The 22,834-nt window shown below is 52.2% G+C and overlaps 1 protein-coding gene across 5 annotated transcripts in view, besides 1 other annotated feature; it reads right to left on the reverse strand.

The window, feature by feature from the left end:
- The window catches only part of DRD2 (dopamine receptor D2), a 65,794-nt gene continuing 49,004 nt past the window's right edge, over positions 6,045-22,834 (reverse strand). For 2 of the 5 annotated variants that reach the window (NM_000795.4, XM_017017296.3), the window contains exons 2-8: positions 20,807-21,122; positions 14,467-14,576; positions 13,303-13,439; positions 11,861-12,051; positions 10,815-10,901; positions 8,996-9,323; positions 6,045-7,360 (exon numbers count right to left, since the gene is read on the reverse strand). In NM_000795.4, the coding sequence (NP_000786.1) occupies positions 7,167-7,360; positions 8,996-9,323; positions 10,815-10,901; positions 11,861-12,051; positions 13,303-13,439; positions 14,467-14,576; positions 20,807-21,091 (1,332 nt within the window). In that variant the 5' untranslated portion in view covers positions 21,092-21,122 and the 3' untranslated portion in view covers positions 6,045-7,166. Of the gene's footprint in view, positions 7,361-8,995; positions 9,324-10,814; positions 10,902-11,860; positions 12,052-13,302; positions 13,440-14,466; positions 14,577-20,802; positions 21,123-22,834 lie in introns of all 5 variants that reach the window. The other 3 variants (NM_016574.4, XM_047426511.1, NM_001440368.1) reach the window with 2 other exon arrangements.
- Positions 14,041-14,090: an enhancer, noted in NCBI's record as "active region_5539". NCBI's record gives its function as "activates an Ori minimal core promoter by ATAC-STARR-seq in GM12878 lymphoblastoid cells {active_cell/tissue: GM12878}" and the evidence as "EXISTENCE:reporter gene assay evidence [ECO:0000049][PMID:35858748]".

Below are 22,834 nucleotides of genomic sequence, written 5' to 3' on the forward strand. Positions count from 1 at the left end.
TAACTTAGGAGCCATTCTGGATCAGCACTGGGAGGATGGAAGCCTTCTACATCCACACTGCTCAGTAGGATAGCCGCCAGCCACAGATGCTCCTGAGCACTTGAAATGTGGCTAGTGTAACCAAGGAATCAAGTTTTTTTATTTCAATAAATTAAATGTGGGTATCTAGCCACATGGGGACAGTGGACAGCACAGTCTATACCTGTCTTGCCTCCGCCAGGCAGTTGCCATGTTGCGTGGGGTCGATCAGGAAAGATTTTCCTGGAAGATGCATATGTTGAATGAGGACAAGGACAGAGCAGAAGAGGAGCAAAGCCTGGACTGGATAGAAGGGGAGAGGATTGGCTGGGGAATGTGAAAGAGACACAGCTGCTATGGGGAGCAGAGAGTGGCCAGCTGAAGGAGGGACAGTGCTGTTGAGGTGCAGGTGTGGGAGGTGCGTATTCAATGGAGAGACCTTAATGTTCATTCTGATTTGGGAGCTCCCACGCAGGATGAGGGACAGTTGGGAGCTGCTGTCAGTTTCCCAGCAGAAGGAGGATGCAATCAGAACACGCCATGCATCCTAAAGACCTCTTCAGCTGTGTGCAGGATGAGGAAATGGGGGACAGTGGTGGGAGATGGGGACCCTGCCCTATGGGGCTTCAGAGCAAGGCACACCTGGCTTGGCATCCCAATTCTGCCTTTTGCTAGCTGTGGACTTTACCCAGACTTTCCAGATTTCGGCATCTGTATTTATAACAGATTTGTTATCTTGGGGATGCAATTAGATCACGCCTATCTCCAGCACACATTGGTACTCACCATCACTTCTCTCCTCTTCCAGCTTTCTGTTCCTGTCCTTTCTCACCAGTGTTACTCAGGTAACCCCTTCATTACCCTTTACTCATATGACAGCCTCCTTTCCCATCCTAAACTGTGCTTGATCCAATCCAGCCCACCTCAAGGAGGACATTCCTGGGTCCTGGGAGATGGCATCCCCTAGCCTAGCCATCCCCAGAGATGCAGATAGCTGAGATTGTTCCACCTGGATCCCTTCTTGTGCTGGGAGATGGAAGCTGTTGGTGGAACCCTCCAGTTATGAGGCTGGGAATCCTAAAGGAGCAGGGAGGCTTGGCAAGCTGTCTCCACAGCAAAGTGTAGGGCAGAGGCCTAAACGGGCTGCCGCGACTGTCTTGAAGGGAGGCAGGACTGCAGGGATCAGCAGAAAACTCCTCACGGCTGAAAAGGCCTACGGGAAATGAGGAGACTGGGGAGACCGTGTCCCTCTCCAAAGCCAACCTGAGGGCACTGAGCTCCAGGAAGAGAATGATAATGGGCAGGGCTGAGAAGGGGAGGAAACAGGGCTCCAGGCCTGTGGCAAGAAGGAGAGGAAGGAGGGAGCCCCAGGACTTCCTGAACACACAGATGGCAGCTCCAAGGTGATCTTGTGTTCAGGAACATTCCTTTCCTGATGCCCCCTGTGCTTACCTATAGAACACATCTCACCAATAAGTGAGGGCCTCCAGTGAGTTAGGGCTCCAGCCCACTCTGAAACCCAGCCAGCATTGCTGCAGCACCCACCAACCCCAGGCCCTTCTTCCTGCTAATGCTGTGTCCTCTTCTTCCACCGGTGCCTGCCGGGATCCGATCTGCCCTTCCAGATCCAACTTGCCTGTTCCTGCCCACGAAGACGTCTCTGCTTGCCCCCTGGAGATGCTCACTCCTTCCTCAGGGGCATTCTGTCCCGATGCCCAGTGCAGTGAGGTTGACAGAGCTTCTCTTGGGTCCACCTTCCTTGCTCATTGCATGCCACATCACCACGCCCTACTTGTTTCTGTGTTCCATCCAGTCCTCTCTTAGTGCCCTGGTGTCTGGAGCTCAGAGGGTGCTTCCTCCCTGCTTGCTGAATCGGATTACAGGCAGCAGGGGTTTTTGCTGTAAGGTAATGTTAGGGACAGAGGGCAGGAACCAGGCTGGGCTGAGGTCGGGGAGGGAAACTGTGGGTGGCTGGGTCTAGTGGACTCGGGCAGGCAGACCTGGGTGCATGTCTTCGCTGAGCCATTTACTAGTTGCAGATCTCAGGTTGCTAAAACTATCTTAGCTTGATGGTATCATCTAGCAGCAATAATGTTTATCTCTGGGTCATTGTAAGAATTAAACCTGATGCCCTGCCAGTCAGAGGGCAAGGCAGTTAATAAGCACTCAACACATTCATTTCTTGCAGTTCCTCCTAAATCAGAGGAATGTTTCTCTTGCAATAAGACATAGACAGCCCATCCCTTGGGAGCCTTTTGCAAGGATGCTCTTAGAAGCCTCTGCCCATTTTTCTTTGCCGATACATTCAGGAAAGGAAAGGGAGACTCTCCTTCAGTGCCTTGGTGTAGGCTGAGACACCGAGGCCCCCTGGGAAACACCTACGGATCAGGTCAGTTATAGGGCAAAGGCTAGCCCCACTAGCCAGTCATGCCTCCTCTACCCAGAGCCTGGGTCAGGTCTGTGCTGTCAGCCCTGGGAGAAAACCAACAAGGGACTTGTCTTCTCCAGGGCAGTGTCCTGCCTCTCTTGCCCCTCCCATGCTTTCCCCTGCCCTGGACGCAGCACAGAGCCTGGCCCCCAAATGACCCTCCCAACTTACACACTCCTGGGGGCAACAGGACAGAGTGTTTGGAGTTGGGCCTGATCAGGAAAATCCAGAAGGTATGGATGGCCCAGCTTTGTCTCTGCACAGTCGGTGGCCCCAGGCCCTGCCCCTCCCATTCCTGGAATGGCACCACCTCACCCCCTTCCTGATAGCATTCCTTCACTTCCTGTGCAGCTCTGACACCCCTGGCCCTGGGGTGCCAGGGAGGTGGCCCCCTCTCCCTGGCCTCACACGCAGCTCTGGGTGTCAGAAGCCAGATGTGAAAGTGGGAGAAAGCCACATGCAAGTGGAGCGGTCACACAGCACTTCCTATGAACTTGGGGTTGTCTCTGGCTCCAGCTGTGAGTGAAAGGTCTCTCCACATCCCTCCTTGCCATTCCCTCTCCTGCGCCTCTCTGGGCCTCTGCTCCAATGAGGCCTTATTTGCCAAGTAGCAGAACTGTGATGAGAGAGGAAGCAGGAAGCTGTTCCTACCAGGTACCCCCTTCCCACGTCCCCTCTAACCCCACAAAGCCAGGATAGGTCTCCCTACTCCAAAGATGGTCCACTCTCCCCCCACCAGCTTCCTGCTTCCCCTGCACCCCCAGAAACTAGTGTAGCAGAGCCAGGTCCACCTGGTTGGCAGGAGAGGACCCTCTGGCACACCGATGCCCAGACTGGCCCTCTCACTCCTGAAGCCCCACTAATAACTGCTCTGCCCCCACCACCTACCCACTTGCTCCCTGGAGAGGCCCAAGTTCTGTTTACATGCACCCCAGGCTGTTACCCTACAGGTCTGGTCCAAAACAAGTATTCTTTCTCTTTTAAAAAAAATCTTCTGACCATCCTAGCCTCTTTCAGCTGCACTCACGCTGGTCAGAAGCCAGGGCTGGAATGGACACTATAAGAGGTAAAATCAGAAGATTTAGCCTGAAAGGGAAACTACCCTTTCTGTATGAGAGGCTTCTCTTCTGTAAGTGGAGACGATAAGAATGCCCCTCACTCCAGTGGGTTAGGAGAAGAACATGCCATCAGGGAGGGCAAAGCCCGCAGAGAGGGCCCTGTGCAGATGGAAGCTAAAGTTGCACACTCAGCCCAGGTCCTGGGACCCAGGAGGGCAGGGAGCCAGTGGCACACAGAGAGGGCTGGGCCACCAGGTGAAAGGAGCTATGCAGTCCCTGGGGACAGGGATGTTTTGGGAAGAGATTCCAGATAGGAGGGGATGCTGGAAATGCCCCCAAAGCAGGCCGGGCTTCAGTGTTCTTAGTTGCAGGCAACTGGCTGTGCCTGTGGTGAGACCACCTGGAAAGCAGGATCTGTAGCTGCTTCTTTCAGGGCCTCCTGCCCCAGCCACGCAGGAAGTAGTGGTCCATGCTGTCAGTCTTCCTGCCCCTACTGGTGCCCTACCTAATTGTTCAAGGCCAAGGCACACCAGGGCTGCTGTGTCACACGTCATCTAGGAGAAAGGTGCCTTGGAAGTGCGCAGCATGTGCCTGTGCTGTGTCTGCCGTCCCTGGGCTCTGCCTTGGGGGAAGCAGAGTCTCACTTTGTTGTGATCCCACTAGACTGGACTCACGAAGGCAGGGCCGGTGACCATTGTTGACTGTTTTAATCCCAGCACCTCACCCAGGGCCTGGAGCACAAGAATTGCTCAATAAATATTCCCTAAGGAAGACAGCAGATGGGTGGACGAAGCAATGCAACTTCTTAGTCTGCTAGACAACTCGTCTTCTAATTCCCAGGAACTTTCCCCAGCCCAGGGCCACCTGAGAGTCCTTCAGGACCCAGGAGGAAGAACGAGGGCCTGAAGCCTTGAAGACTTGCAGTTACCTCTGGGTCTGCTCCTTTGTGACTGTGTGATTTCCATTCCCATCTAAGACGACATATGCAAAGTGCCCCACTGTGCCTGGCCCTTAGGTGGTGATCCTGGGCTGTGCTCTAGGAAAGGGCAGGGCAGGGGACAAGGGTGCAGACTCTACCTGCTGTAAAGGCAAATGAATGATCCTTTGATTAAAAGGCACTCTACAGAGCGGCACAGGCACAGACAGAAACCTAGGGAAAGGCAAAGAGGAGTGAAAACTGGAGGCTTCCTTTCCATCCTGTCGTCAAGAGCAAGAGACCATCGTCAGGACCTCTCTGGAGAGAGTCAGAGCCTGGGCCACCCCCTTCCACCTTGTGTTCCCGTGTCGTGTCGGGTCCTACTCCTCCCATTTCTTTGCCCCTGAAGTGCTGAGAGGGGGAGAGGGTGGAGCCCAGCCCTCCCCCTGCCCACTCTAGCTGTCAATCTGCTGTCTGGCAGAAAGACATGAAGCCTCGTGACAACTGTGGGCAACTTTCCCCTGCCCCGCCTCCCGCCCCTGCCCTGCCCTCTTCCCCTCTGCTCCCTGTCAATGCTCTTCTCACTCTGCTCTGGGTCTCCCTTCCGTCCCTCCCTCTCTCCCTCCCTCCCTTCCTTCTTCTTTCCTCTGCTTCTCTTTGTCATCTCTTCCAATCCTCACATCTGATAAGCCTGTATACCCTCATAAGATTCCTAATTGTGGGATATGCTTTTAAGCGTCCATCCAGGCCAAGATCTTTCACAGACTTTGAGCATGGTATGTGTGCAATGGGGATGGGTTGGGTCCCTGGGGCTTCTAGACCCCTTGGGGACCTGATGCTTTCCAGAGGAGATGGTCACTGGGTCCTTGGTGTTATGACCCAGTCCGAGTTAGACTAGGGGCCTGTTTTGCTCACTTTCCAGAATCAGGGTGCTCCTGGGGACAGGAGCCTCTCCCAGGGCTTAGTGCTACCTTTAGGTTTAAGGAGAAGATCAAAGTCCATAATTAACTGTTCAGGGCAAGTTAAGTGCTCCAAACTTTGGTGCTAAAAATATTGTATTTAGCATGCAAATTACGCCCTGACAGCTCCCCAGCGCCTGAGCCCGTGGGTGCTGGCACCTTGTTTGTCATCACTGCGGTTATTCTCAAGGTGGTAAGAATATTCCTCCCTCACTGGGTTGATTTACGCTTCATTTGTAGAAAGCCAAGTTTCTGTTGTCGGGGCAGTACCAAGTTTTTGCCCCGGAAGGCTTGGAGCTTGGGACCGGCCTGGAAGCTGAGAGGAGGGAGAACTGTCCAGGCCGCAGTGGTCAGGGCCTTCCCTGCTTCTCCCAGCCTGCCCTAGAGGAAGGGGATCCTGACATGGGACAGAAGACAGGGCAAGGGACATAGGCAGACACAGGCAATGCCAGTGCATCCAAGGCCACCTTTTCCACAGAGCCTTCTCTGCCCTGGTGGGTAAGAGGGCAAAGGATGAGTCCTTCAGAGGAAGCAGGAGCTGCAACAGGGGAGGTGGAGCAGTGGGGGCAACCTGGCTTCCCTTGGGTTAGACCCTGCAGACACAGGGGTCTTGCTATACTTGAATGCCAAGCACAGAAGTGGCACTGCTGCCTTCTACCCAGGGGTCCTGGAAGGTGACTCGTCAAAGTTTTATTAGTTTGGTGCATGGATAGTGATGTTACAGAGTCTAGGCCCCAGGGGCTCTCCCAAGCTGCAGCTTCCCCTCCTTCCTCAGGGCAGGGCCAGGCCAGGCCAGATGGTTTTCAGCAGCCTCTTAGCCGTGGGCTCCTCTAAGGCAGAGGCAGTGGAAGGGAAGGGAAACAGGAGAGAGGAAAGGCCAGAAGGAATAGAAAAGGAAAGTGGTTTTGCGTCAGAGTGTGGCAGAGGCAGTCCCTCAAAGAACCTCTGATGTCCCCTAGCCCAGGCCCAGATAGAGTTCCAGGGCCTGACCTCCCTGCCAGGCCCCAGGCTGGCCAGCATGTGCTGTGAGAAGGGATACATTGCAGGGCCGTCAGAAGGCAGCAGGGTGGGCTAGGCCAAGGAGTTCCTCTCCCCATAGACCCTCCTGGGCCCTTCAAGATGAGGGCTCCTCTTCTCAGAGCATGTGGAAACCACTTGGGGAGCTGTAACGGGGTGAGGTGGGTCCGGACTAGCCTGGAAAGTAGAGGTCCACATCGGGGTGCGGGAGGGAGCTAAGGTTTTTGGCTTGGGAATCTCTGGGGTCCAACCTGCAGTCTGGTATTTACATGGGTCTCCCAGGACTGAAGTTGCCTGGCTCCTCGGCAAGAGAGCTTGCTTGCCTCCTGTGGGCCTTGCAGGGTGTGAACTGTCCATCTCTCCCCACCGCCTGCTCCACGCCAAGCCCCACAAAGAGAAAACTCAGCCTCTGGGCCCTGACTCAGGCTCCAGCAACCCTAGAGCCCCAGAGGAAGGTCAAGGAAGGCGGCTGCATCTTTGGTGCCAAGGATAGGGGGACTGGAGGTGGGAGGGGGGACTCTATGAGCTGCCCCTGAGCTGGGGGGCCCAGCCCCAGGGCTGGTACCATGCCCAGCTCACTAGCACTGCCCTGGCAGAGTGAGGGTGTGCGGGCAGTGAGGAGCATGGAGCCAAGCGAACACTGCAGGGCCTGCCGGGGTGAAGAGGAGGCCGATCCACCCAGGCCTTCCTGCTCACGGTTCGCAAGGGTGAGGCTGGCCGGCCTGGGCAGGGAGGTGGGAAGCAGGCTGCTGTGCGGGCAGGCAGCAGAGTCAGCAGTGGAGGATCTTCAGGAAGGCCTTGCGGAACTCAATGTTGAAGGTGGTGTAGATGATGGGGTTCACGGCGCTGTTGACATAGCCCAGCCACGTGAAGGCGCTGTACAGGACAGGCGGGATGTTGCAGTCACAGTGTATGTTCAGGATGTGTGTGATGAAGAAGGGCAGCCAGCAGATGATGAACACGCCTGGGGGAGAGGGCATGGTCAGGCTGGTCCCCAGAGCCGGGGAGGCACGGCTGGGAACACCCACACCCAGTGCGCCCTGGCTCGTATGCCAAGACGGTGGGCTGTAGCCACAGAAGCACTGTAGGAGGAGTCCAGGTCTTGGATCCTAGACCTGCCTCTGACACCCATTTGCAGTGAAGTATCCCTTCAGCTCCTTCAGCCTCACTTCCCTCATTTGTCCCTTTCCCACCTCCTAGAAAAGGGTACATGGTTTAACAATAAATCCAAAAGGTTACCATTCTGACCCAGGTTAGCCAGTAGAAATGGAAATATCTACTCTACTTCCAGGTCATCTTTGAGGGCTATAGACCCATGCCACTTAGTTCTTATAGCATCCTCATAAGGTACATAAGAAAAACACTCACAACAGCTCTGCAATATACCCAAGGTCATTCACTCTTGAGCAGCGAGGCTGAGAGCTGAACTCCGGTCTATCCAGGTCCCCAGATGATCTCGCTCTAGCCTTCCCCCAATTTCCCCAGTCTTGGTGGGTACACCCTTGCTAGTCCCTGCCTTGAACCATGCCCTCTCACCCAGGGCAGCCACCTACCTGCTCTGCTCACCTAACTCAGGTGCACTTTTTCCAGGACCTCCTGCACAGGTGTGATATTTATCCTGGAAGCAATGTGTACATGGAATGCCCTACAGGCACAGGAGGCATCCCTGGAGACTGAATGGTGTCTGGGAAGAGTAGGGCCACAGAGCTGAGCCCCTATGGACTGCAGCAGAGGGCCTGGCTCCAATCCTAGCCTACCATATCCCAGTCCCATGATCGTGAGTAGTCCCATGGGATCAAGTGCTCTCATTCATAAAAGAAGGGAGGTAACAGCTGCCCCACTCACGCCCCAGGATCATCCGGCAGTCAAAGGGGATTCAGGTGCTTCCTGGAAGACAGAGTCACAGGGGACCCTCCTTTTCCCAGCCACCCATATCAGTCCACCTTTTGGGTTTTGACCTTTACTATGTGGTTTTCTAGACTTCTATTGAAAAATCCTGCTTTATGGACAGGGATGCTTTTCATTTAGATTGGGGGCCACTCCCCAACATCTCATTTATTTTTCACAGCTCTGGTCCCATGGAGTCTTGTTTGAGTGCAAGTGAACTGAATTTCCCAATTCCTCAAAAAGAGCAATAGTAATAAAAACCATAATAGTGACACTTACATATGGATAGTGCTTTGTAGTTTAGAAAATGCTTTCACCAACTGATTGCCATGACAGCCCTGAGAAGTAACCTACTCTACAGATGAGGAGCCTAGAGAGAGAAAGTGACTTTCCTGGGCACATAGGCCCATGAGGTTCTGGTGCCAGCATAATAGACTAGTCAAATTTCCAGACTCTGGAGTCAGACTGCCTGAGTTCAAACCATGGGTCCTCTTGGTCAGGTTTTATAACCACTCTAAAACTCTGTTTGCCCATCTGTAAAGTGAGCACAATTACAGAATCTACCTAATAGGGCTGTCTGTATGTCAATGGGCTTGGCCTGTGCCTGAGGAAATGCTAGCCCCATGATCCTGCAGCCATGGTTAGGAAGGACATGGCAGGGAATGGGACCTTTCACAGACCGGGCTGTGGCCAGCAGCCAGGGCCGACTCACCGAGAACAATGGCGAGCATCTGAGTGGCTTTCTTCTCCTTCTGCTGGGAGAGCTTCCTACGGCTCATGGTCTTGAGGGAGGTCCGGGTTTTGCCATTGGGCATGGTCTGGATCTCAAAGATCTTGGCAATCTTGGGGTGGTCTTTGGCATGCCCATTCTTCTCTGGTTTGGCGGGGCTGTCGGGAGTGCTGTGGAGACCATGGTGGGACGGGTCGGGGAGAGTCAGCTGGTGGTGGCTGGGTGGGATGGGGCTGTACCGGGTCCTCTCGGGTGGGCTGGTGCTGGAGAGCATCTCCATCTCCAGCTCCTGGGCTCGCCGGGCAGCCTCCTGCACCAGAGGCAGAGGGCTCTGGGTAAAGCCGGACAAGTTCCCAGGCATCAGCCACCCATCTCACTGGCCCCTCCCTTTCCCCCTCTGAAGACTCCTGCAAACACCACAGGGTCACCCTGCCAGGGAGGCAAGGATGTCACTGAGGCATGGGACCCAGGACCCATGGCAGCCCCTGCAGGATTGCCCCTGTCCTTTTTCCCATGGCAATCCTCATGCAGCCTCAATACCCCACTTCTGTTCTGCCAGGGCTGAATACCAGGGACTTGTCTCTCATGGCCTGAGCAACACTTACTGTTAGCAAAGTGCCAGGTGCCACAGTGGCTGCTGGGGTCAAGAGCTGATGATGTTTGGCCCTGCCTCCAGAAACTCATGTTCCGACTGCAAAGAGGGTGCCCACCCCTGTTCTCCCTGTCAAACAAGGGGCCCAGTGCTCCCACTTCATGGGTACCTGCACCTGCGTACACACGTGGGCTCCATATTCTCCTGGATAGACTAATCTAGGTGCCAAAAGGCTGACCCCTGGGGCCCCACATCTTCCCTGCTGGGGTGACCTAGAGAGCCCTGGCATGGATCCACTCATGGCCTCCTGGGTTCTTCCATAGGTTCTCTTGTTTGAGGCCTTGGAGGTGTTAGTCTGAACTTCTAAAGTGCAGCCTCACTATGTGCCTAGGTGGCATGACTGGGCTGCTGCCTTGGCCCTGACTCTGAGGCTCTGTTTTGGCACCTGCCTCATAAACAGCTTCTTAGAGTCCTGCCCTTGCAGTGCAGGTGAAGGCAGGACACCAGACCTGGATTTTGTATGCGGCCCTCTGTGGGTTCTCTGGCCCTGTTCTCCATCCCTCTGGAGGATGGAATGCCTGCTGCTTGCATGTTGGTACAGCTACCACCTGGCAGAGGCTGGGGTCTGCTGTGCTTCCGCACCTGAGGGCTCTATGTACACAAACTGCTCCGCCACCAGTCCCCGCAGCTGCTCTGCTGCGTCCTACCCCAGAACCTGCCCATCCATAAGGCAGCTCATGTCAGTGGAAAGAACACAGGTGTGGATTTCAGAGTCACACAGGTCTGGGCTTAGTGTCACCAACTCTTGAGACGGGTGAGTTGCCTAATCTTTCTGAGCCTGTTTCCTCTTCTGTCAACTGAAGATCGGTTCGATCAAAGAGACTTACCTCCCGGGGTCGTGGTGAGGATTTGATGAGATAATAGGGATATGGTAGATGTTTGAGAAATGTGAATAGCCATTATTATCATTTTTATTACGTTGGTATGGCCAACCATTTTCTCGTACACATCCATGCCTTGCAGAACCGAGGTGTCTCACTTCATGCCTGCTTGGAGGTGTGCACGGTGAGTCTGCCTTCAGCTGAGGCAAGGTGGGGGTTTCTGGGGTGCTTCTCCCATTGGCCAGCTTCTGAGGTCTCAGAACCATGGCCAGTGGGCTTCCCTAGGGGCAGAAAGACCTGGCTCTGGGTCCCTGGCCTGAGCACTTACCACTCTCCGCCTGTTCACTGGGAAACTCCCATTAGACTTCATGATAACGGTGCAGAGTTTCATGTCCTCGGGGTGAGTACAGTTGCCCTGTGGAGTGAGCCAGCACATGGGTCACACAAAGTGGTGGGGATGGAGGGGGGACAGAAACCCAAAGTGCAGCAGTCCATGGAACTCAGACTGGGCAGAAGGGCTCAGAGATCAGGAGGGTGGGGGCCAGAGGAGGCAGTTGGGGCAAGGGGGAAGGCTGGAATGAGACAAAAAGTGGTGGGTATGACGAGGAACACAAGGACCTGGTTTTTTATGGAGCACCTGCTAAGGGCCTGGCACTGTGCTAGGCACACTCACGTCCCTTCTCACGTGGAATCCTCAAGACCACCCTGTGAGGCTGGTATTTTGATTCCCATTTAACAGATGAGGAAACAGGCTCATAGAAGGTAAGCAACTTGCCTAAGGTCACTCAGCAAAAAAAGTGTCAGTGACAGGATCTGAACCTGATGCGTCTAGCCCAAGAGCTCTTGTTCCTTCTGTGCCCACACACTGTCTTCCTTGTGAAGGACTGAGTGAAGGGGAGAATTCACAAGACATCAGGGGGGAAATGAAAGAGAAGCACAGGAGAGACATAGTGGAGAGGAAGTCAGGAAAAGTGATGTGTGTTTGGAGGGGAGGACAGAGAGTACGGAAGGTAAAGGAAAGAGGATGGAGGAGTCAGAGGGAGCTAAAGTGAGACAGAGAAACCAGAAAAGAGGAAGAGAGGAGCCCACGGGGGTACCAAGCAAGAGTTGCCGCCTTCAGTCACAAAGATCTCCAAGCAAAGACTTCCCCTTGTTATTTAGTGTCATGGACCCTGCCTCCCTCTCCTGGAGACTCAGATTGCTCCACTGAGGTCCATGCCTTCAAAATCTGCCCTTGCCCGGCTCCTGGGAATTCCTTTAGCCTAGACCTAACCCTTGCTGAGGTTTCCCAAGCCCCCACCTGAGCATAAGATGAGCCCTCTTGGTAATGGTTAGGTGGGGACCCTTGGAGTTGGTTGGGGGGTGTCTTGAGACCTTTAGTGGAGCCCTCAGGTGGGCCCTGAAAGCTCGGCTGCTGCGTTTGGTGTTGACTCGCTTGCGGCGTCTGCGGAGGACAATGTAGATCTTGATGTAGACCAGCAGGGTGACAATGAAGGGCACGTAGAAGGAGACGATGGAGGAGTAGACCACGAAGGCCGGGTTGGCAATGATGCACTCGTTCTGGTCTGGGGGAGGGAGAGCCCGGGCAGGCAGGGAGTCAGCGGGCCCACCGGCCATAATTCCACAAGAGCCCATTCATGTCCTTCCAGGAACAAGGAGCGATTTTACAGAGAATATGAACGCAACTAGATGTTTAAGGCTGCCTGGTCATCTTAGATATACACAAACGCACAGCAGATACCAGAGTATTAAAAACACGGTTGTGAGCAAAAAGTTAAGCTGTGATGATGGACTGCTCCCAAGTCTTTCCATTACTATTCCCTCATTACTTGGTCATTAGTTTTGCCATGTCTGGGCATAACAAGTGAAGCCGATGTATCCAGAAAGAATGACACAAGAAAACTTTTAAAAGAGTAAACCATCTTTTTAGTCTGACCTGTGTATTGGGAGAGGTTGGCCACCTTTTAATGTTTGCAGCAAGATAACTTGGCTCTGTCTGTTGAACTCACTTGTGTTCCTATGTGTTTCATATGTTTGCGTGCCCTTCTAGGTCTACCAGACGCCTGTCCTCTATCTCAGGGCCTTGTGCATTAATCCAAGTATGTTTAGTGTTATTCCCACTTAGAATTCCTGTGATGCTTATAATAGATACCGAACCACACATTTTCAAGGCTTCACTGTATCTTTTGTTGTTACGATCTCCAGAGGTGCACACCTGCCATCGCTCTTGCCTCCCTGATGAGAGGAAGTTCCACGCTGGCGGGGGCTTTGTGTTGCCTCTGTCTGAGACACTCCTGACTCTGCCTCCCACAGAAATGGGCATGTGGTCAGCTTACCTCCTATTCACTTCTAGCTTTCCTGCTCCAGGTGGCTAAGGCCTGACCTGGGTTTAGCAGGCCCTGAGGGCTGCAGCTTCATTACAAAAATACTATTGTCAGGAGTGGATGGAAGCCCAGTAGCCTCCGCCATCCCATGTTCATGTGCACATATACACACATGCAGTTTGTGAAGCACGTCTTGCCTCTTCAACTTAATAACCAAAGTTGAAAATTCCCAGACATACCCCTGAACCATTATCCCCACTCCTCATCCAACTCCGTTGTGTCCTGGGCCACTGTTTCCTCTCTGCCAACCTAGAACAACTCTTGAGTGGGGCTTGGCCCAGGACACGTAGCCTGGACTCAGTCCAGGGTAGTGATAGGCCTCCATTGGGCCTCCACCCATATCTGTGCCAGGGACTCTGCTCCCTCAGGGCCCTTCGAGGGAGCAGGGGCCCAGGGCCAGCTGAGCCTCAGGCAAACAAAAGCAGAATGTACCTGCGTTATTGAGTCCGAAGAGGAGTGGGCAGGAGATGGTGAAGGACAGGACCCAGACGATGGAGATCATGACGGTGACCCGGCGCTTGGAGCTGTAGCGCGTATTGTACAGCATGGGCATGGCCACAGCTGTGTACCTGCAAGGGCGGGGGACCCTGAATCTGGGGTGCAGGCCCAGGGACCCCTCACTCCACAATATGCACACACCAGAGACACCCTCACTCCTTGGGGCTAAACAGTTGACACACCTCTATGAAGCTTGCCTGAGATGCTAACTCAACCCTCCCTCCTGTCCCCAAACTCAGATGGCGAGGACAGTTGGCAAAGCCCAAACACTTAATCACTGGTGAGCTATTGTTTACTCTTAGCTCATATCTATTATTCTAACCGGCCCCACCTGGATTTCAGGCTTTTCGAAGAACCATGGCCTGCATCTTTGCACTTTTGAAACTGTACCCACTGCACTTGTGTTGAGCCCATAAGGTGGAAATGTTTGTTGATAAATTGTTAGCCAGGCCCCTCAGAGCAAGATTTAAGCCTTAGTTAGCAGGAAATAACAATGGCAATTGTCTACAATCCTTCATCACATTTTTTTTTTTACCCAGCCCTTCTCATTCATTAACTTATTTCATCTTCCAAGAATGGTGTGAGGGAGGTAGGGTCATATCTGTGCAAATTAGTGGAAGGCTCCAAGGATGCAGCTTAGCAAGGTGTGCATGGCCTGGGACCCTTGGCCATGTGCCAAGGACATAAAATGCATAACCAGATACTGCAGCTCCAGGCCACAGGTGTCATCAATGTAGGTTTCTAGAAAATGAAACTGAGAGCTCTGAAAACGTCCATCATCTGCCCAAGGTCACATGAGTAAGATGTGCTAGAGCTAGGGCTTCCGTCAGAATCACAATCTTTCCCCTTTTGTACCAGTCACTGTCTGAGTATGCTTGGCAGCATCACTGTCCATAGATGGCTTCTCTTTAGGGAGTGTGTGCTCTCCTAGCCAAACATACACACATGCACACCCATACACACAAACACATGGACCCCCATGCACACAGCCAGCTGCACAGCATCACAGACACGAGACACAGCCTGGCTTTGAGAAAAGCTGGGGCAGCCAGAATGGTGAGTGGCCAGAGCAACCTCTTCCACCCTGGCTGGGCTCACCTGTCGATGCTGATGGCACACAAGTTCAGGATGCTCGCCGTGCACATCATGACGTCCAGAGTGACGAAGATGTCACAGTGAATCCTGCTGAATTTCCACTCACCTACCACCTGGGGACAAAGCAACATAATGGATGGACAGCAGGAGTGGGAGATTAGCTTAGGTCCTGTAGCCTGGTACTCCTGGAGCCGATGAGGCCACAGACTCAGGAGGCAGCTGCAAGTCTTGTGGGCATCCAGCTGGGGTGTGGGGAGTGATGCCCATGGGTGTCTGAGGCCCTTGCCCCTCGCTTATCTTCTCCCAGATACATAAGACCACTTATTGCCAATTACTGTGCTAGAAGAAAGACAGCCAACTTATACGGAGGGCCTCAACTTTAAACCTTAATCTCTGCAACCTTTGTTAACCCCATGTGTTTTCTTAGATTCTGTATTTGTGTATTTGGCACCCATTCATCACAGAGACACCTATATTGACTATATTTTTCTATCTTCTCTGATCCTGATATTCTGGCACTTGGGAGCCTCACAGACCCAGAGAGAGACTTACTGTCCCAGAGCTAGTTAATTCCTGAAGACAGAAAATGACTGACTTGGAAGGATGCCTCTCAAATGCAAGCCAGCCACCCCGTTTCTCTAATTCACACACACACCAAGACAATATTTCCCCTGTCCCAAATTATCTCAGGTACCAGAGAGACAACTAGAGATCACCCCTGTAGCCCAAAGCCTGCCAGGATGTTGAGACTAGCCAACCCTAGGTTGCTTAATCTGCCCTGCCTTGCACTTCCTGTGGGAGCCCCAACAGGGCTGTAGCCTGGGCTTTCCCTCACCCCTGATTCTGACTCTTGACCCAAGCCTGCTGCTTCCCCCTGCACCCCACATGGCGGGCTGAGCATCTGGTTTCTAGGGACATTGTGTATCACGTTAAACTCTTCCCAATGGCACTGGCTTCCCTGTGTTATCACTCAGCCATACCTCTGTAAATTAGATTCCAGGTAAAATTTTAGAATGCCCGTGAGGAAACTGAGAACCAATGAGGAAACCAAGCCTCCAAAAAGTGCAGTGATTTCCCCAAGGCCTGTGGGCTCAGTTCCTAGTCCTGCTCTGGCCCAGGCTCTGGCTGAGCCAGGCAAGCCCTTCAGTGGTTGGCCCAGTACATGGCAGAGTCGGGGCCCCAAAATGATCTGTTAAGAATAATGGTGAAGATGAAGACTCGCCATGAAACAGAGAAGAAATTTCTGCTCCTTCTTATACCCAGAGAACGAAAGAAGGCAGATCTGGGCTAGTGCTCGAGGAACACCCGAGTGGGCTGGGGTAGGCGGAGGGGTTGCTGTGATGAGCTGTGTCCTTGGTAGGATGGGAAATGAAGAGTCTAGCTCCTGGCAGGAGCACGTTTCTCATACACACATGCACACAGGCACACACACACACACACACACACACATGAACGCACCGCCCTCCCCCCTCCCCACGTAACACCCATTCACACACAGGCACACACTCATGGCAGATTACGCAGGCACACACTCACGGCAGCTGTCCCTAGCGCTCTGGAAGCTTGGAGCAGCCCCAGTTCCCTGAGGATGGAGTCAGGACAGGGAGATGCACCTTTGGCTTCTACCAATAGGAGCAGAGAGGAGCGTGAAAGCCCCCTCCCGCAACCCGGAGTAGGGCAGACTTCGTGTCACCGTGTAGCTTGGCAGCAGGGCTAATTATAACCTTGCTCATTCTGATCACTGCCCTCTCTTCTGCTCCTAGGCATCCAACCAAATGCTGGCATTTAAGCTCAATGATGGGCAATGCAGCTGCTGTCATCCTGTGTGGCAGAAACAGCAGCTTGCCCCAGAACACAGCAAGCCTCTCATGCGGCACTGTCTTCCTGGGAGCTCACATGGGGGCCCCGTACCAGGGCCTCTCTCCCAGCTCCCTGTGCTGCTGCGCTGACCAGTTTGGCAGGAGCTAACAGCTGGATGCCCATTTTGCGGGTGGAGGCAGGAGGGTACGTAAAGGGCTTTCCTGGCATAAACAGAGTGTGCCTTTAGGGTACCACTGGGCAGAAAACCAGCACTACCTGATTTACATCCCACTTTGAAGCCCCTCCTGGGACCAGTACTTGGGAGCCACTGGGGATCTAGGTTGAGATATCAGGGCCTTCCTCCCTGTCTTCCTCCTCTCCTTCCCTCCTTTCTGCCATCCCTTCTTTCCTACAAACACTTATTGAGCAAATTACTGTGTTCCAGCCTCTATCCTAGGCTCCTGGACACAGTTGTGAGCAATTCAGACACAGTCCTGCCTTCATGGACATCTTAAATCTCTCCTTGCACTGGCCTATCTGGAGCCCAGAATAACAAAGAGATTTCCTCTGTGGTCCCAGGGGAAGCTGCCTTGGAGAGTAGTTAGGGCTGCTAACTTAAAGACTCAAGAAAATGCATTGGTGGCCACTGTCCATAAGACATCTACTGTGGGCATTGCACTTTATCTCATGTATCGTTCTTAAAACTTTTACAAGAAGGGCTTGCTTATCCCACTCATAGGTGAGGGAACTGAAGCCCAGAGAGGCCATGTAACGTGGCCAAGTTCACCTGGCAGGTGTGCAGCAGAGCTGGAATCTGAAACATCACATCCCATGCTCTCTACTAAGCTGCCCTGGAAGGGACCATCTAGCTTATCAAGAGAGGAGATAATTAGGTGACAAGTACTTGGTAAGCATGAAATGTGAAAAGGAAAGATGATTATTTCAAGGGTGGACAAAACTAGGGAGGGTCAGAGAAGAAAACAGAACAAGATCACTTGGTGATTTAGTAGCAGAGGAAGGAGTGGCCCCAGGTTCCCTAGTCGAACCCAAGGCTCTTTTCTTCACACCCCCAGGCATCCAGGCATCATTCCTTAATGCTCTTGCTCACATAAAGCTGAGACCTGCAGTACAGGCCCTGAGCTGGCTCAGCTAAGTCCTAATAACTGTAATAATACTAAGGACTTACCATGTGTCAGGCACTGTTCCAAACACTTGATGCTTATATCTTAGAATGCAGACAGTAAGCCTCAGAGGCAAATGACATAACCACCTCTCCTCCATACCTCCAGCCAGCTACTCCCTCTCCCTGCTGGGTGGCTTTCTTGAGAATGCAAGTGTCTCCCTCCCTCTCCTGCATAATTTTTCCGAAAGCATCATTTCTCCCTGAAAGTCTTCCCTGACACCCTCATGCTGGGCCTTATGCCCCACACCTCCTATGGGGACTGCTCCACTGTCACCGGCAGCAGACTGCACTGTAGGGGCCCTGTCAACCTCTGCATCCCCAGCAGGTCAGTGCCTTAGCCCATTGCACAAGGATTGGGGTAAGACCTCGGAGTGCTCAGTCAGTGCTGACTGAGTGAATGAATAACTCTGAGATATTTGTTCATCTTCTCAATCTCCTCATCTAGAAAATAAATGCACACAGGAAGCCGCTCCTTAAAGGGTTGTGAGGCTGACATGGAATGGCACATGTGGACATCAGGAACTCTTCCAATAGCATCTAGATGGAAAGGAATGGAGCTGGGAATTGAACCTGGTCCTCTCACTCCAAAACCAGCGTGCTTTTCATACACTTAGCAAGATAAATAACGCACACTTAGTCCTAAGCCAGACAGATGTTGGCATGGCATTGCTGGAAATGGAACAGGAGGAAAAAATCTGGATGACAAGAGCATGTATTAGAGAGGGGACAGTGCGTGGTTGTGAGGGTGCGCTGATAGGACATCAGGGCAGGGTGAGACGTCACCTGGGACGTTCTCTAGGGACAACAAATCGCTGAGATAATGTCCATTAAACAAGGCTCAGTGCCCAGCTCTAGTTTGATGAGATGCTGTGGGGAAGTCTGAGCCCTGCCCTCTGAGAATGGCTTCTGCACCCTCCTCCCCTGACACACTCAGCTTCACCTTTAAAATAAGGTGAACAAGCATGTTTAAAGGATCTGTTCGAAAGACTTACAGATTCCTGGGAACCCCCTATAGCCCATGTATGGATTTGTCCCTACCCAAGTGCCTGGGTAGGGACAGGGGGTCTGGAAGCTAACAGAAGCCATGCCCAGAGCCCTGGGTAGAACACACGTTCCTCTGGGAAGAGGGTACCTACTTGCCTGGGGCGAACATAGGGAGTACTCTCTCCTTCCTCTTTATCCCAAGGGGGCGGTGAATAGGAAAGACAGAGTCCTCCCTATGTGGAGCAGTGCTGGATGTCTATTGTCATCTTCATCTTTATCATCATCGCCATGGCTGACATTTACACAGTGCTCACTGTGAGCCATGTATCATTCTAATCACTTTTCATACATCAACTAATTCGATCCTCAACAATGCTATGATGTATGATACTATTATTATCTGCATTTTCCAGATGAGGAAACTGAGGCACAGAGAGTTTGTTTGCTCTACCATTTTTCCCTATGGTCTGAGACCTAGGACCCTCCTTTGGAAGAGGGAAGAAGGAGGGGATCAAGCGTAAGAATTAAGAAGGCATGGACAGAGTCTAGGGGCCCTCATAAACATGGATCCAGGGGGAATTGGACTCCTGGCCTGTGTCAACTGAATATTTTTATGTGGTTTTGTATTTGTGTTTCCTTTTGGTTCTTCCTTAATATCCAGTCAGGTCATTTTGGAAGTTGCAGCCTGCATTGGCTGTAGTAAAGGAAGCCAAGGGGTGATGGATCAGAGCTCCCTTGGGCCCGGGGTGGTGGTGAGAACAGTAAGCGCACGAGCCCCTTGGGGGCCCAGGGACAGGGAGGTGTGCCACTTTCCACCAGTCTCGCCTCCTCACCTGAGCGTCCTCATCTAGATTTCTCCCCTGTTTAAACCTACAAAGCTTTCTCATTTTCTTTCAACAACCCCTTCCCTCTCAGGCAGGGATGGCCTCAGAGGCACTGGTCAATTCCTCTCCTGCTCAGGGAAGGAAGGTAACGGTTCAGTGGGCAGAGCACCGGCACTTTCCTAAATGCCTGATCCCATGCCTTCCCATGCACCTAGACTCCCAGATTGCTTGAGTCCTGGACATGCCATCCTAGAAAGCTGGGCAGAGAAAGGGGCAGGATCCAGCTTGTGCCCACCGATGATCCCTAAATGCTCCCACATCTGCTCGCTGGCTCTGAAGGTGTCTTCCTGGAGAATAATATCTGCTTTGGGATTTCTCCATCAGCATTTCTCCCTGTGACCTGGGTGAAGAAAGGCAACTTCTCCAAAGCTTCTATTTCCTATTTTGTTTTTGTTTTAATTTAATTTTATTTTTTTTTTGAGACAGAGTCTTGCTCTGTCGCCCAGGCTGGAGTGCAATGGTATGATCTCAGCTCACTGCAACCTCTGCCTCCCAGATTCAAGCAATTCTCCTGCCTCAGCCTCCCAAGTATCTGGGATTACAGGCATATGCCACCACACCTGGCTAATTGTTGCATTTTTAGTAGAGATGGGGTTTCACCATGTTGGCCAGGCTGGTCTTGAACTCCTGGCCTCGTGATCTGCCTGCCTCGGCCTCCCAAAGTGCTAGGATTACAGGCGTGAGCCACCGTGCTCGGCCTGTTTCCTATTTTGTAAAGTGAGAAGAGTAGCATGGACTCCCAGGGTTACCAAGAGTATTCACTGGGTCTGTGTCAGCAATGCACCAGGCACAGTGTCTAGACTGTGCTGCCTACTCCCCATTTTGAGGTGCAGAGCTGGGCCAAGAAATGAGTGACTACACAATTCTTCCTAACAAAAGGGCTACAGCACAGTCCATGGCAGCCTCTACCTGCAGGTCCTGGACAGGGCCCCAGGATAAGCTGTGGGAAGGAGAGGGGATATGGGGAGCATAAAGCAGCAGACCCATTTCTGAAGTGGGGAGATGGGAGTGAAGGTTTCAGGGGCCTGGGAGCATAAACATGCCCCTCCTTGGGGATCCTTGCCGGTTACTCCTATTTCCAATATGACCTAAGGAACTAACTCTGAGGCCAGAATTCCAGCTTGGACTTGCCAGCCGTGTGATGCTGCAGCAGTTACTTAACATCTCTGACCACCTGGTTTATCAACTGCAAAATGGTGGCAATAATGCCAGCCTCTAAGCTGCTGTGAGGGTTATATAGGAAAATGCTATATTTAAAGTCCCTACGTGAGGCCCAGCACTTAGTAAGCACTTTACAAATGGTAGTTGGGATTATTAAGGAAACAATCTACCCATTTCGTAAGGAGAAAAAGTAAGCCCAGAGTGAAGGAAAAACCACCTGGGGAAGCACCAGGAAACTCATTGGTAAAAGCCAGTGGGGAGCTAGAGTCCCCAGTGTCCAGTGCAGGGCCCTGCTGGAGAAAGTGCTGGAGCAAGCAGGGGGCCCACCTACCTCCAGGTAGACAACCCAGGGCATGACCAGTGTGGCGACGAGGAGGTCGGCCACTGCGAGGCTGACGATCAGGTAGTTGGTGGTGGTCTGCAGCGCCTTCTCGCGGGACACAGCCATGCACACCAGCACGTTGCCGAAGACGATGACAGCGATGAGCAGGGTGAGCAGTGTGGCATAGTAGTTGTAGTGGGGTCTGTCCGCCTTCCCGTCTGACCCGTTGAAGGGCCGGCTCCAGTTCTGCCTCTCCAGATCATCATCATACCAGGACAGATTCAGTGGATCCATCAGGGCGGTGGAGCCACTGGGTGGCCAGGCTCTGGCCAGGAAAAATGGACACAAGGTGTCAGTGAGAGGGCCTCTTGCAGAGGTCTCCAGGAAGAAGACCAACTCCTGGCATTTAATAATGAGAATTTTCCAACTCGGGATTTTAAGGTTTACGGCTAAGAATTTTCTAAAAATGTTGGGCCTTCTGCCACTCTTTTGCTAGCAAGTTTTTACAGCTGGTAGGACAAATGAGCAAACACAATTTTTTAAAAATGCATAATAAGATGAGCTTGAACAGAGCTGATCCATCATTTATTTATTCATTCAACAAACACTTCTTAAGCACGACCCATGCACCACACACTTCAGTTAACCAGGCTTGCTACCTTCTAGTCATCGAAACAGAAATGGGTATTCATTCATTCTTGATTCTATAAATATTTATTAAGCATTGTTCTATATAGTTCTAGAAATATAGGCAGGAACAAAATATACATGGTTCTGTAGCTCACATTCTAGGAGAAACAACAGCCAATTAATCAAGCAATTACATCTAAGGGTGATAGGGAGTAGGAAATGGAACAGGGAGAGAGATACATAACCTAGTTCAGGTATTCAGGGAAGGCTTTCTAGAGGAAGTGATGTTCAACAGACAAACAACTGAAGGATGTGTAGGAATTAGCCAGGTAAAGAACTAGGAGTCAGCAGAAGGTCTAGACATTGGAAGCAGTATATGCAAAGCACAGAGGTAGAGAGGTAGACAGCAGGTGGAGGGCCTCAAAGAGATTCTGGATAGCTGATGCAGAGGGACCTGGCAAGGGTTGAGTCTGGGGAGGTTGCAATAGGCAAGATCATAGAGGGCCTTAAAAGTCATGCTAGGAGTTTATACATGATCCTAAGGGCAGCAGGAACCACATGATCAGATTCGCCTTTCGAATAGGTGATTCTGACAGCACTGTGGAGAACGGAGAGGAGGGGCCCAGAGTGGAAGCGGGACACCAACTGGGAGGCTGTAGCAGGAATCCAGGTAAGAGATGATGAGGTTTGGCAGGATGCAGGGAGTGAAAGCCCTGCAGAATGGGCATCTCATCCCACAGAAGGGAAAGACTTCCTGAAGTGGGTATCATCTGGGATGAAGTAGAAGGAGGACTTAGCCTGCTAAATGAGAGGGGTGGGGGGATGTTCCAGACAGACAATATGACATGGTATCAAATCATCAAACAGCAAACAATTCTGTTTGGCCAAAAATGTAGGGTATGGCAGTAACGTTGAGGATAATTAAACTGCAGGGACATTTACAGGCCAGATTGTGTCTTGTCAGCTGGAGAGTCCCTGAGAGGTTGGGCCCAGAGACATGACCCTATTGGACTGGTGTTCTAGAAAGTGTATGGTGTAGAAGAGAGCTCAGAGGAGAGTGATGTTTTGGCTGTAATTTAGGTTAGAAATTGTGGTCATCTGAACGAAGATAGTGGAAACGAGGATGGAGAGACCTGTTCAGAATTAGGAGCTAAACTGCAAGTCAATTTCATGGTCCTTGGTCCTTGGATAGGTGTGGGGCAAAAGTGGGTATGGGACAAGCAGGGAGATAAGGAGTTGAGGGTAATGCTAGGATTTCTGCGTGGGGCTCTGGGAGGCTGGTGTCGCATATTCACAGAGAAAAGGGACCAGAGGGGCTCAGGAGCAGACTTGGGAGGCATCAGGAGTTGATGAACTTGACAGCCGGAGTTTTGGTTGTGACTGAAGCATAATGCATGGATAATATAG

This window comes from Homo sapiens, chromosome 11 (genome assembly GCF_000001405.40).
Source record: "Homo sapiens chromosome 11, GRCh38.p14 Primary Assembly".
In the NCBI taxonomy this organism is placed as follows: domain Eukaryota; kingdom Metazoa; phylum Chordata; class Mammalia; order Primates; family Hominidae; genus Homo; species Homo sapiens.